This window comes from Homo sapiens, chromosome 5 (genome assembly GCF_000001405.40).
Source record: "Homo sapiens chromosome 5, GRCh38.p14 Primary Assembly".
NCBI classification, from domain to species: domain Eukaryota; kingdom Metazoa; phylum Chordata; class Mammalia; order Primates; family Hominidae; genus Homo; species Homo sapiens.
In genome coordinates this window covers 140,878,904-140,891,232 of record NC_000005.10, presented here as the reverse complement: position 1 = coordinate 140,891,232, position 12,329 = coordinate 140,878,904, and the positions used below count along the sequence as shown (strand labels likewise).

Below are 12,329 nucleotides of genomic sequence, written 5' to 3'. Positions count from 1 at the left end.
GAACAGGATGATTATAAAGACACAGCATGGTAAAACTGCAAAATATCAGACACACAGAAAATCTGAAAAGCAGCCAAAGGAAAATAAACAGAATACCTTTAAAGGAATGACATTTAGATTGACAGCTAAATTCTTGACAGCAACAATGGAAACCAGTAGACACTGGAATAATATTTACTATGTGCTGTGGGGGTCACACCTAAGATTATACCCTCAGAAAAAATGCTTTTCAATAATTATGATGAAATAAAGACATTTTCAGAAAAACAAAACCTGAAATCATTCCTCACCAGCATCTTTGGACTAAAGGAAACTCTCAAATTATTCTAACATGGAAAGACAATAATCCCTGATGAAAGGTCAGAGGGGCAAGAAGTAAGGAAGAGAAACAAAACTGGTAAATATGTAAGTACATTTAAAACAATGTTGATTGTATAAAATAATACTAATATCTTATGGGGTTTTAAAATATTTTTAAAGCATGACAGAAATAGTATATAAGTCAAAAGGGATTAAAAAGATTTTAAAAATGTAAGGTCCCTGCATTTCCCAGAAGGAGGAAGGGTTTCAGTTAACTTTTGATTTTGATATATCAAGGATACATGCTTAATTTTCTAGGGTAAGCACTAGCTATTCGGAAAAGGGCTTCCAAATAATACAGAAGGAAATGGAACAATAAAAAGTACTCAGTCATTTCAAAAGAAGATCAACAAAGGAAGGAAATAGAGACATAAAAATGGTGAGACAAAAATAACGCACAAAAAATTGAAATATTTGTGCCTAAAGATATCACTAGGTATTGTAAATATAAACTAAATAAATATTCAAGTTAAAATTTATAGATTATCTAAGAAAGAGTACTTGTTCAGGTTATCCATTGCTATATAGTAAACCATCCCAACTACCTAATATCTTAAAACAACTTAATATTACCTCTCCTGGTTCTGACTCAACTGAGTGGTTCTTGCTTGCAATCAGGTGCAGTAGTGTACTGGTAAATGCTTAACAACTAGGTCTCTGGGAAAAAAGAAAAACAAAAAACTCTGTTTTGTAGCATTTGCCTATTTCTGTGGCAGAAATACTCCTACCATGGCCAATTTCAAGCTACCAAAGTGACATCATTGAATCCAGAGTTGGGAATAAATTTGCATTATCAGTTCTCATAAGCCAGTAAAAGAGCCAGCTCCAACACACTACAGTCACCTGAAGCCTTCTACATTTTTCTGGCACCTAAGCTTGGAAAGCTAAGACAACTGGAGACTGGATAGTAATTTTTCTATCCATTTGGCTTCTCACAAGTCCAGCTTGAGCTTCTTTACAGTATGACAATCTCAAGGTAGTCAGAATTCTTACATGGTGGCAGGCTTCCCCCAAAACAAATATTCTCAGAGACCAAAGCATACTGTAAGACTTCTTATGACCTGACTTCATAAATCCCAGAATGTTACTTCCAATATTAAGACCAGTCAAAGTTCAAGGAAAGAAAAATTAGACTCTGCTACTCAGTGAGACAGTAGCAAAGAACTTGTGGAATATGCCCATAATACTAAAAGGTTTAAAATAAAAGGCTGGGAAGAGGACATCTCCTGCAAACACAAATGAAAAGAAGAGAAATGAATCAGTATAATTAATATAAAAATATTTCAAAGCAAAAACAAAAATCAGAAAGCAGAATTCTGAAGAAAAGTAAATTAGACAGGAAGCAAAAATAATATCAAGAATGGAAAGGGAAATATCACTATAGATTCTGTAGAAAGTATGAGCATATAACTGAAAATTTAGATTAAACAGGAAAATACCTGAAAAAATATTATCTACGTAACTGACTCGAGTAAATTAAACTCTGAATGGTCCTTATACTATTAAAATTGAGTCAGTAATCAGAAATATTCCCACCAATCAAAATCCTGATACAGATAACTTCAACAGTGAGTTCTCCAATCAAATAAGAAGTAATTCAAAGATTATACAAACTTTTACAGGAAACAGAAAATTTTCTGGAAGTTTTCAAAGACTATTCTTCTTTGTTAAGTATTCAAGTTATGCTAGATTCTTATTTATAACTTGAATACTTAACAAAGAAGAAATTAGGAAGAAAAACTAGGACATATCAGTATCACCTGGAATAAAGATGAAAAAATTGTTTTGAAAATTTAACAAAATAAGTAGTATATTAAAAGGATTATAAATTATAATCAAATTACGGTTATCCAAGGAAGTAGAGGTTGGTTTGCCATAAGAAAATCATAAATCATAAATTCAACACATTAACATTGCCAAAGAAAAAATTTATACCTCCCTCAAAAGATGCAGATAAAATATTTGATAACATTAAACCTCAATTCTAATGTTTTAATTTTTATGTTGAGACATGGTCTCACTCTGTCACCAGGCTGCAGTGGAGTGATGTGATCACAGATCACAGATCACTGATCAACCTCCCCAGATCAGGCTATCCCTTCAAAATTAAAAAAAAAAGTGGGTAGAATAATTCCTAGAGCTCACAAAGGGCTGGAAATATTTCACATTCCTACCAATCAGAGAAGAGAGACCTCTTAATGCACAGGGCATTAGGTGGTGTCCTCAGGAAAGTATTGCTGTAATAGAAGGCCGAATTAGTGCTACACTAAAAGCTGCTCTGAATGTGTACTAACAAATCTTAAAATGAAGCCTTGAAAGGAATAAATTGGTACTGAGCAACTTAACTTCACGTCAGAACTAAGTCCAAGACTCTTTAAAGCAGAGTTTCTCAACAGTGGAACTACTGACATTTTGAGCTAATTCTTTATTGTTGGGCGGCTGTCCTGTGCACGGTAGGATGTTTGGCAGCAATTGGATGGTGTTTAGCAGCATCTCAGAGCTCCATTATTAGATGCCAGTAGCAATTCCCTAGTTGTAATAACCAAAAATGTATCCAGGCATTGCCAAATTATCTCCTGGGTAGGGGGTAGAGGGGACAAAACTGTTTCTTATCAAGAACTACTGCTTTAAAGGAACACGCACACACATGCACACACACACAAAATCCAGCATCCGACAATGTAAAATTCACAATGTCTAGCATCTTATTAGAGATTACCAGTCATGCAAAACAGCAAGAAAATATATCCATAGAAGAAGATAGATTAAAAGAAGCAAACTAAGGACAAAAATGTTGAAATTAGCAGACAAGAAAGTTAAAACATCTATTATACATGTACTAATATGCTCAAACATATAGATAAAAAGATGACTATTCGGTGGAGACATGTAAAATAAATTTTAAAAGAGACAAAAAGAATCTTATACAGATAAGAAATAAATATGGTCTCTGAAATGAAGAATACACTGTTTAGGATTAACAGATATGATACTACAAAAGGAAAAATTAGTGAACTTGGAAAATATGTCAATAAAAGATATTCAAAATGAGGCACAGAGAAAGAAATGGACAAAAATAAAGAACGCTTCAATGACCTGTGTCATTGTAACATATGTGTTACTGGAGTCTCAGAAAGGATGGAAGGAAAGAAAAAACTATTAGAAGAAGTATGGTTGATTTTTTCCTGAATTTGATGAAAATGATAAATCCACAGATCCAAGAATATCAACAAACCCCAACAGACTAACATAAAGAAAACCATACTAAAGCACATCACAATCAATCTGCAAAAGTCAGGATAAAAAGAAAAGTTTTAACAGTAACCATGAGGGGTGGGGAGAGGAAGACTCATATATAAAAAAGCAAACATCTTATTAGAAACTATGCAAGCCAGAAGACAACTGAATTATATCTTTTAAAAAACTGTCAACTATGCCCAGTGAAAATACTTTTTCAAAAATAAAAATGAGATAAAGAGCCGGGCGCGGTGGCTCACACCTGTAATCCCAGCACTTTGGGAGGCCGAGCCAGGTGGATCACGAGGTCAGGAGTTCGAGACTATCCTGGCTAACAAGATGAAACCCCATCTCTACTAAAAATACAAAAAATTAGCAGGGCGTGGTGGCGGGCGCCGGTAGTCTCAGCTACTCGGGAGGCTGAGGCAGGAGAATGGCGTGAACCCGGGAGGTGGAGCTTGCAGTGAGCCGAGATCACGCCACTGTACTCCAGCCTGGGCGACAGAGTGAGACTCCGTCTCAAAAAAAAAAAAAGAGATAAAGATATTTCTCAGACAAAAGCTGAGTGAATTTGTTGCCAGAACATATGCACTATAAAAAATATTAAAGAAATTTTTCAGGCAGTAGGAAAGTGATACCAACTGGAAATTTGGATTTACAAAATAATAAATTTCGTTGCTAAATGTCTAATGTGTAGAACATGCCTGGCACATAGAGAACACTCAATAAGTATTTATTAAATGCATTTAATTAATGAATGTTCAATATAGGAGTTGGGAAGACCTTTCTTTTTTTTTTTTTTTTTTTTCAAGACGAAGTCTTGCTCTGTCACCCAGAGCTGGAGTACAGTAGCATGATCTCATCTCACTGCAACCTCCACCTCCCGGGTTCAAGCAATTCTCTTGCTTCAGCCTCCCAAGTAGCTGGGATTACAGGCGCGTGCCACCATGCCTCGCTAATTTTTGTATTTTTAGTAGAGACAGGGTTTCACCATGTTGGCCAGGCTGGTCTCGGACTCCTGATCTCCTGATCCGCCCACCTTGGCCTCCCAAAGTGCTGGGATTACAGGCGTGAGCCACCGTGCCCAGCTGGGAAGACCTTTCTAACTGAATATGCAGACCTTAAAATCCATAAAAGGAAAAAGATATATTTTAATTCATACATTTTAAAAACATTTATATATGACAAAATTAGTACAAACAAATGAATAGAAATAATATAGGAGGAAAACATATTTGTGATGCAGATAATAGATAAGCACACCATGGCATGTACACCTATGTAACAAACCTGCACGTTCTGCACATGTATCCCAGAACTTAAAGTGTAATAAAAAATAAATAAATATAAAAATAATTTTAAAAAATTTTATCTATAAATAGAGATACTTTTATTTATTTCTGAAGTAAAAGTAACAAAATTAGAGAAATGGAGAACAGATTACTGCTTGCCAGCATTAGGCAGGGAAGCAGATGTGGCTATAAAAAGGTGATATCAAGAATCTGGTTGTTACGGAACTATGTTACTTCTTTACTGTATCAATGTCAATATCCAGGTTGTGGTATGGCCCTACGCTTTTGTAAGATGTTACTATTGGGGAAAACTTAGTGAAGAATACATAGCATCTCCCTTTACTATTTCTTTCAACCACATGCGAATCTATAATTATCTCAAAATAAAAATTTTAATTAAAAATGTCAAAAAATAGATAAACAGTTAATATCTATAAGGTACAGAGAACTTTTCCAAACTGAAACTAAAAATTTTTTTTCAATAGAAAAGTAGGCAAATAACTTAATGGATAAATCAAAGAAGATCAAATACAAATCAACAAAATACATATGACAATATGCTCAAATTCACTAATACTATACAGGAATTTAAAATTAAAGTAACAGTGAAATATCATTTCACAGAGATCACATTAGCAGAAAGTAAAACCACTATTGCTTCTTGAGATAGAAAGAGTGCTCATAACTGGTTGGTTCCAAAATACTTGGAAGGCAATCCAGTGACATATTTTATAATTAAAATTATTAATATCTTTGATGCATCAATTCCACATCTGACAATCAATTTCGTAGAAATAACACCAATATTTTGGGAAATATATGAAATGATAGCACAGCATGGTTCATGAAGATAACAGAACACTTGACACAAAGTGATTGCCCATCATTAGGTAAATAATATATAATTGCACACTTACACTGTGGAATACTACACAGCTATTAAAACCATTAGATTTGCAGGGACTGCCAAAAGGTACTTTCAGTCACCAGTACCTTTTGGAAATCCCTTCAAACTTTGGAAAAGAAATAATAACAAAAAGCCTACCAGGTCTCTCTCTATATATGTATATATATATGTATGAGTAATTATCTGAATGCAAATAAAAAATTGAAAGCAGAATCACAAGATATTTTTCATGGGATATATGAGAGGGGAACACTGATGTGCCTAGAGGACAAAAAAGTAGAGACAATCAAAACAGTTTAAAAAAAGAAAGAAAGAAAAGTGCACTTAAAAAAAGCATTTATGTGAAAAGTTATGGGGCTCTTTAAAATAATATCTTGTGGGTATATGTATACATTAAACTAAAAATTTTTTAAATTTAAGATTACGATTAGCCTCATTAAAACAAACATTTTCTAAATGTTTAAGTTCTCACAACGTGAGGAATTTTTTGTAAATGCTCAATTGCAAGATAAATACTTAGAACTATTAAGAATACAACAGAAACAAAATATTCTTGTTTTGCACATTTCATTATGGTTTGTGAGTTAAGATTTCACTCTGAAGGATAATCCAACACATAATGTCCACAGCAGAGTTGTTAAATTCGATAACAACTAGCAAAATTAAAATTAAAGTAAAGAATAATTTGAAATTGGCAGGAAAGATGTCTTAAACAAACAACTGCAAGGAAGGCTAAAGTGTTTACTAAGACAATTTTTTAAAATATAAGCTTACCTCTTTCAAGCATTCTGAGTCCTCCTCCCTCTGGCCTGTTCCCTCTGCAGAACCCAGACAAGGAGGAAGGCTGGGACTGAAGGCCATGAGGTCCGTCTTATGCGGGCCCTCCCCAGAGCACACCCTCGGCCGCCTCTGCTGCGAGTACGACCAACTCCCTGCCGCGCTGGAGCACACTAGAGTGGGCTTGCCCGGCGCGCACGCGCCCTCGGTGGGCGGTGCCGAGCACCGCAGCGCAGTATACAGCAGCAACGTGAGCACCAACAGGCTGGACACCGCGCAGATGGCAATGATCAAGTAAACATTGACATCCACCAGCGCCGCTTCTGGACCCACAGCGCCTGCCGACGCCCTCGACGAAGCCTGTGGCGCTTGGCCGCTCTCCACCAGCGACAACAGCACCGTTGCCGTGGCCGTCAGCGCGGGCTCACCGTGGTCCTTCACCAGCACCAGAAGGCGGTGGTGCGGCGCGTCCACCTCGTCCAGAGGGCGCGTCGTGCTGATCTCGCCAGTGTACAGCCCCACGCGGAACGGGATGCGCGCGCCGACCGCCGCCAGCTGCAATTCATACGAAAGCCACGCATTGTAGCCCGAATCGGCGTCCACCGCGCGCACCTTCGCCACCACGTGGCCTGCACCCACCGACCGCGGCATCAGCTCGCTCACTGTGCCTCCCGCGCTGCCAGCCCCGGGCGTCAGCAGCGCCGGAGCGTTGTCGTTCTCGTCCAGCACGAACACCTGCAGCGTCACGTTGCTGCCCAGAGGCGGCACGCCAGAGTCGCGCGCGCTCACCTGGAACTGCAACAGCTCCAGCTCCTCGTGGTCCAACGGCTGCAGCGCGTACACCTTGCCGCTCTCCGCGTGCACCGACACGTAGCTCGACAGCGCACGCTCGCCCACCCGCCGCTCCACCAGCGAGTAGGAGACCAGCGCGTTCTCCTGTGCGTCCGCGTCCTGAGCAGACACCGTGAAGATGTGGCAGCCCGGCGGATTGTTTTCCTTCACGAACACCGTGTACTCGGGCTGCGCGAACGCCGGCGCGTTGTCGTTCACGTCGGCCACCCCCACCGACACGCTGGCCGTGGCCCACAGCGAAGGCGAGCCCCCGTCCCGCGCGGTCACCACCAGTTCATAGGCTGATACGCTCTCGCGGTCCAGGGCGCTGTCCAGCACTAATGAGTAGTAGTTCTTGTAGGTGGACACCAGCTTGAAGGGGACATGCGGCGTCAAGGTGCAGGTGACCTGTCCATTTGAGCCAGAGTCACGATCGGACACACTGATTAGGGCAATAATGGCGCTAGGCTGAGTGTCTTCTCTGATGGGGAGTGACAAAGAAGTGATGGTAACCTCTGGGGCGTTATCATTTACATCTAGTACTTCCACCAAAAGGGTACAATGACCCGCCATTGGAATATTTCCTTTGTCAACTGCCTCCACGGATATTTCATATAATTTCTTTTCTTCGAAATCTAGTTTGCCTTTTGTCCTAATTTCTCCATTGTTCGGATTTATGGTAAATGCATATACCACTGCAGGCCATACAGGCCTTCTAAATGAGTAAACTATATCTCCATTTGTACCATCATCAGGATCTGTGGCATTTAGCTTGATCACTAATGTTCCATTGAAGGCGTTCTCTAACACCGTCACTTTATAAACGGATTGGTAAAATTCCGGGGCGTTGTCATTCACGTCCAGAATCGTGATGAGCAGCTGAACTGTGCCAGTCAGCTCGGGTTTACCTCCATCACTGGCTGTCAGTAATAAACTATGTTCCTGAATTTCCTCTCTGTCCAGTGTTTTCCTCAGTACAAGTGATAATGAAGACATTTGCTCAAGACTGTTTTGTGCGTCCAAAGTGAAATAATCGTTGGGATCCAGTCGGTAGGTCAATGCCGAGTTTACTCCAATATCTGCATCGGATGCGCCATCTAGTGGAAATCGAGTTTCCGGAGGTCTAGATTCTGCAATGATTATTCGTTTCTTGCTTTCAGGGAATATGGGCGGGTTGTCGTTAATGTCCCTCACCTTCACCTCCACATGGAAAACCTGCAGAGGCCTGTCCACGATCACCTCCAGGTGGATGCTGCACTCCGCGCTCCGCCCACACAGCTCCTCGCGGTCGATCCGAGAATTCACAAACAAAATGCCATTCTGCAGATTTACCTCCAGAAGGTCCCCGTGTCTTTTGGACGCCACCCGGAACAGGCGCGGCACCAGCTCCGCCAGCTCCAGCCCCAGGTCCTGAGCGATGCGGCCCACGAAGGTGCCGTGTTTTGCTTCCTCGGGGACGGAGTAGTGGAGCTGGCCACTACCCGTCTCCCAGGCTGCGAGGATCAGAAGCCAGAGCAGTAGTTGCCGCGGTCTTGGGCCTCCTTGCCAGGAAGACAGCATGGTACACTCCAAAAACCTCAGAGCTATCTGCAATATATACAACGCCTTACCTCAAACTGTCTCTCAAGGCCCAATTTTTATGGCTTCCTAGTGCGGAAGGATTCGCAAGAGGTATTCCGCTTTCTGCTATATTTTCTGCAGGAAGAAAGAAACGGCGGCTTTCTTCGCGGAAACGTTCTCAGTGAAGAGCGACACCATGCGCATGAACGTGTAAGTGTAAGTATGACTCAGTCTTCATATTTTCCATTGATGTAGTATTTTTTTGCCCCTTGCATTTCCTGACATTTTCACTGCAAATATGTAATTGAAGATTAAATGTTTACCTTCCCAGAAACAGCAAATCACTGCATTCTGCTCAACATTTTATATTAGCTGACAATTGGTTGATGAGTTTCATTTTGCCACAAATTTATTTTTCCATGTGTAAGAATTCCATGCAGAACTTTAAGACAAAGAATATTCGACACTCGTTTTGGGACAATTGATCGGTAGTTCTGCATAGTCATGTAGGTTTTTGTGGTACTGTCCTCTTCCTGTAATATTTTTCAAGACCTCCTCACACAACAGCCATTGACTCCAAAAGGAAACATAACAATCACATAAGAATAAAATCGGTGAAGGTGAAAAATATTGGTAACTGATATATCAGATTTTGAATAAGCACATCATATTAATAAATTTCCCTCAATGTGACTTGAGATGTAGATAAGATATTTATATTCAAAAGAAAGTGTTCAGTCAATATGTGTGGGATTTTGTATGTGAGTGTGTGTATGTGCATAAACACAATAATTTAGCCACAACAATGCTCTAAGGTTTTGGATTCTGTTTTTATAAAATATGCCTGGAACTAATATCCTATTGATTTAATAGAATTTAACTTACCGCCGCCGGCTGCAATTCATACGAAAGCCACGCATTGTAGCCCGAATCGGCGTCCTGGTTAAATAGAATTTAACCAGGAGGTTAAAGTTTCCATTTTCTCTCTCCATCTTACTTCATCATCACTGAGTAAAACCTTGCCGTCATTTAAATTGACTTTAATTTTCCAAGAAACAACAGCTAGACAAAGATGTTAACATATCTTTAGCAAGGAAAAGAGGAAGAGGATCTTACTTTTATCTATTGTTATAACTATCTCTACCAAGCCACAAAATCCCAGGCCAAATGGTGTAATGAAAAATATATCATAGCTCCAATAATTATCTGGCCTGTTCTGTGCACAACTCTATAGGAAATGACTGTTGGGTTTATTTCCATAGCTCTGCTCTCCTCTGAAAATTTAGGCAGAGTATTTGGTATTCTCTTACCCTCATCATCCTCTCCTGCTCCATTACTTTTACTAACATAGTATTTCTCTTCTAATTCTTTCTATCTGGCCCTACATTTCTTTATTTACCTCTTCACATAATTAGACTACATAGTCAACCATTTAAAATATGCCCTTCCAGACACTCTAGAGTCATTCACCTATTTATATTACTCCTCTAACATTCTTTTTAGCCTCCAACACGCAGTTACACTGACAATCCATTTTCTCTATGCTTCCTATTAAGCTGCTCAACATTGTCACTTAACCATGACTATTCTCTTCAAATTTACTCTCACCTTTACCTCAGTTGGGCTCTCAAGTGAATTGATAATTAACTCCTCCCTCTTGCTTACAGAGATTCTTCCATATTCTCTTTCCTCTCTTCTCAAATTCTCAACCTCATTTCCATCAGTTCACTTTCAGATGATTCACACATTGAGAGATGTGACCAAACAGAAATTCAATTGCTCTCTTCTTGTGTCATTTTTCCTTATATTATCTGTTTTCATTTTCTACTAGTTGTAAGGAAAAACTGTTCCCGCTTTTAAGGTCAACCATATGCTCTTAAAAATTATTTTCTATTCTCTCATGGTTTTCATCTAAATTCACCTGCTGCCTGTCTTATTTTTAGTATCTTATTTTTTACTTGTTTCTTTCACTCACACTATGAAGATAGTCAAACTTCTTTAACTAAAATATGTATACATACACACACGCACATACACTAATTTAAATGTTCTACTTCTGGTGGAAAACCTCTTCTGTTTATCTTTTTCCCTTCATGTTTAACTTCTAACATATACTTGATATATTGCACTTTGAGCTTTATTTCAGCTTCCTGTTGTCTATCCTTCTATGATTTTAAGCCTACTATAATAGGTTGAATTGTGGTCCCCAAAAAGTTATGCCCACATCTTAATCCCTGGAACTTGTGGATTTTACTTTATATGGTGAATAATATGATTAAGTTAAGGATCTTGAAAGGAGTTTATCCTGGATTATCCAGATGGGCCCTAAATACAATCACATGTACCTTTGTAAAACCAACACATAGAGAGAGACATGGAGAGGAGGAGGCAATGTGACCATGAAAGCTGAGAAGGCTGAGATGGGAGTGGTACAGCCACAAGCCAGGGAACACCAACAGCCAATAGAAACTGGAAGAAACAAAAACCAGATTCTTCCCTGGGGCCTCCAAAGAGAGTATAGCCTTGACAACACCTTGATTTTGGACTTCTGGTCTCCAATACTGAGAAATAATAAACTTTTGCTGTTTTACAGCACCCAGTTTGTGTTCGTTTGTTATAGCAGCCACAGGAAGCGACACACTTACCCACCTAAGTACCTGGACACATTGTTTTTCACTTTTCAATGTCTGTCTTGGCAATTTTATTCTTTCATGGATTATTTTTTTCTCTAAAGGAGTTGTTCCCAAAATCTATATCAATAATCTCTTCTGAGATCCAGACCCATATTTCCAATCACAACGGTATTCTCTTAGGACTTCAAAGTAACATTTTCTTAAATGTTCATCTCCATTCCCTACCTGCTCAAATACACACAAACTGTTTCTCCAACCTTGTTCTGCAGGTTGGTTAATGGCAATGTCATCTTCTCAGCTGAACAAACTAAAAAAGTGAGAGTCAACTTCTACTTTTGTTTTTCTCTTATCATTTGTATTGAGTCTGTCATTATCTGGCTGCTTCTACTTTGCCAGTGCCTCTTGTATATGTCTTTTTCAATTCATTTCTACTGCCATAATTTAAGTCTCCATTACTTGATACCTAATTTATTAAAAAAGAAATAGCTTTCCTGCCTTCACAATCTCCCCTGCTCTAATCCTTCAATTACACCATATACTGTGCAGTTGTTCCTACTTATCTCTCTTAACACTTTCTTGGTAAAATGTTGTCTATCTTTCAAGACACTCTTCAATAAAACATTATCTGATTTCTAGGGCATACTCTCATTTCTAAGATAGAGGGGAATGTCCAGGTAATACATTTCAATACCATATATTTATTTAAAATTATTGATTGAAGCTGGGAGTGGT

At 39.1% G+C, this 12,329-nt stretch overlaps 13 protein-coding genes and 1 further gene across 17 annotated transcripts in view, besides 1 other annotated feature; all 14 read right to left on the bottom strand.

Annotated features, from left to right (window-relative positions):
* The window catches only part of PCDHA13 (protocadherin alpha 13), a 130,224-nt gene extending 121,115 nt beyond the window's left edge, over positions 1-9,109 (bottom strand). Inside the window, exon 1 of one of the 2 annotated variants that reach the window (NM_018904.3) lies at positions 6,571-9,109. In NM_018904.3, the coding sequence (NP_061727.1) occupies positions 6,571-8,964 (2,394 nt within the window). In that variant the 5' untranslated portion in view covers positions 8,965-9,109. Of the gene's footprint in view, positions 1-6,352 lie in introns of those variants that run through there. The other variant, NM_031865.2, reaches the window with a different exon arrangement.
* Positions 1-12,329, bottom strand: part of PCDHA@ (protocadherin alpha cluster, complex locus) — a 226,209-nt gene that overhangs the window by 121,112 nt on the left and 92,768 nt on the right.
* Positions 1-12,329, bottom strand: part of PCDHA1 (protocadherin alpha 1) — a 226,208-nt gene that overhangs the window by 121,115 nt on the left and 92,764 nt on the right. The gene's annotated exons all lie outside the window — the stretch shown is intronic.
* PCDHA2 (protocadherin alpha 2) overlaps positions 1-12,329 on the bottom strand; it is a 217,496-nt gene that overhangs the window by 121,115 nt on the left and 84,052 nt on the right. The gene's annotated exons all lie outside the window — the stretch shown is intronic.
* PCDHA3 (protocadherin alpha 3) overlaps positions 1-12,329 on the bottom strand; it is a 211,291-nt gene that overhangs the window by 121,115 nt on the left and 77,847 nt on the right. The gene's annotated exons all lie outside the window — the stretch shown is intronic.
* The window catches only part of PCDHA4 (protocadherin alpha 4), a 205,280-nt gene that overhangs the window by 121,115 nt on the left and 71,836 nt on the right, over positions 1-12,329 (bottom strand). The window lies entirely within an intron of this gene.
* The window catches only part of PCDHA5 (protocadherin alpha 5), a 190,735-nt gene that overhangs the window by 121,115 nt on the left and 57,291 nt on the right, over positions 1-12,329 (bottom strand). The gene's annotated exons all lie outside the window — the stretch shown is intronic.
* Positions 1-12,329, bottom strand: part of PCDHA6 (protocadherin alpha 6) — a 184,388-nt gene that overhangs the window by 121,115 nt on the left and 50,944 nt on the right. The window lies entirely within an intron of this gene.
* Positions 1-12,329, bottom strand: part of PCDHA7 (protocadherin alpha 7) — a 178,079-nt gene that overhangs the window by 121,115 nt on the left and 44,635 nt on the right. The window lies entirely within an intron of this gene.
* Positions 1-12,329, bottom strand: part of PCDHA8 (protocadherin alpha 8) — a 171,161-nt gene that overhangs the window by 121,115 nt on the left and 37,717 nt on the right. The gene's annotated exons all lie outside the window — the stretch shown is intronic.
* PCDHA9 (protocadherin alpha 9) overlaps positions 1-12,329 on the bottom strand; it is a 163,966-nt gene that overhangs the window by 121,115 nt on the left and 30,522 nt on the right. The window lies entirely within an intron of this gene.
* The window catches only part of PCDHA10 (protocadherin alpha 10), a 156,451-nt gene that overhangs the window by 121,115 nt on the left and 23,007 nt on the right, over positions 1-12,329 (bottom strand). The gene's annotated exons all lie outside the window — the stretch shown is intronic.
* PCDHA11 (protocadherin alpha 11) overlaps positions 1-12,329 on the bottom strand; it is a 143,391-nt gene that overhangs the window by 121,115 nt on the left and 9,947 nt on the right. The gene's annotated exons all lie outside the window — the stretch shown is intronic.
* PCDHA12 (protocadherin alpha 12) overlaps positions 1-12,329 on the bottom strand; it is a 137,040-nt gene that overhangs the window by 121,115 nt on the left and 3,596 nt on the right. The window lies entirely within an intron of this gene.
* Positions 6,890-7,474: an enhancer, noted in NCBI's record as "H3K27ac-H3K4me1 hESC enhancer chr5:140263344-140263928 (GRCh37/hg19 assembly coordinates)". NCBI's record gives its function as "activates a minimal SCP1, AML or CMV promoter by ChIP-STARR-seq in naive H9 embryonic stem cells {active_cell/tissue: H9 hESC(naive)}" and the evidence as "EXISTENCE:reporter gene assay evidence [ECO:0000049][PMID:30033119]".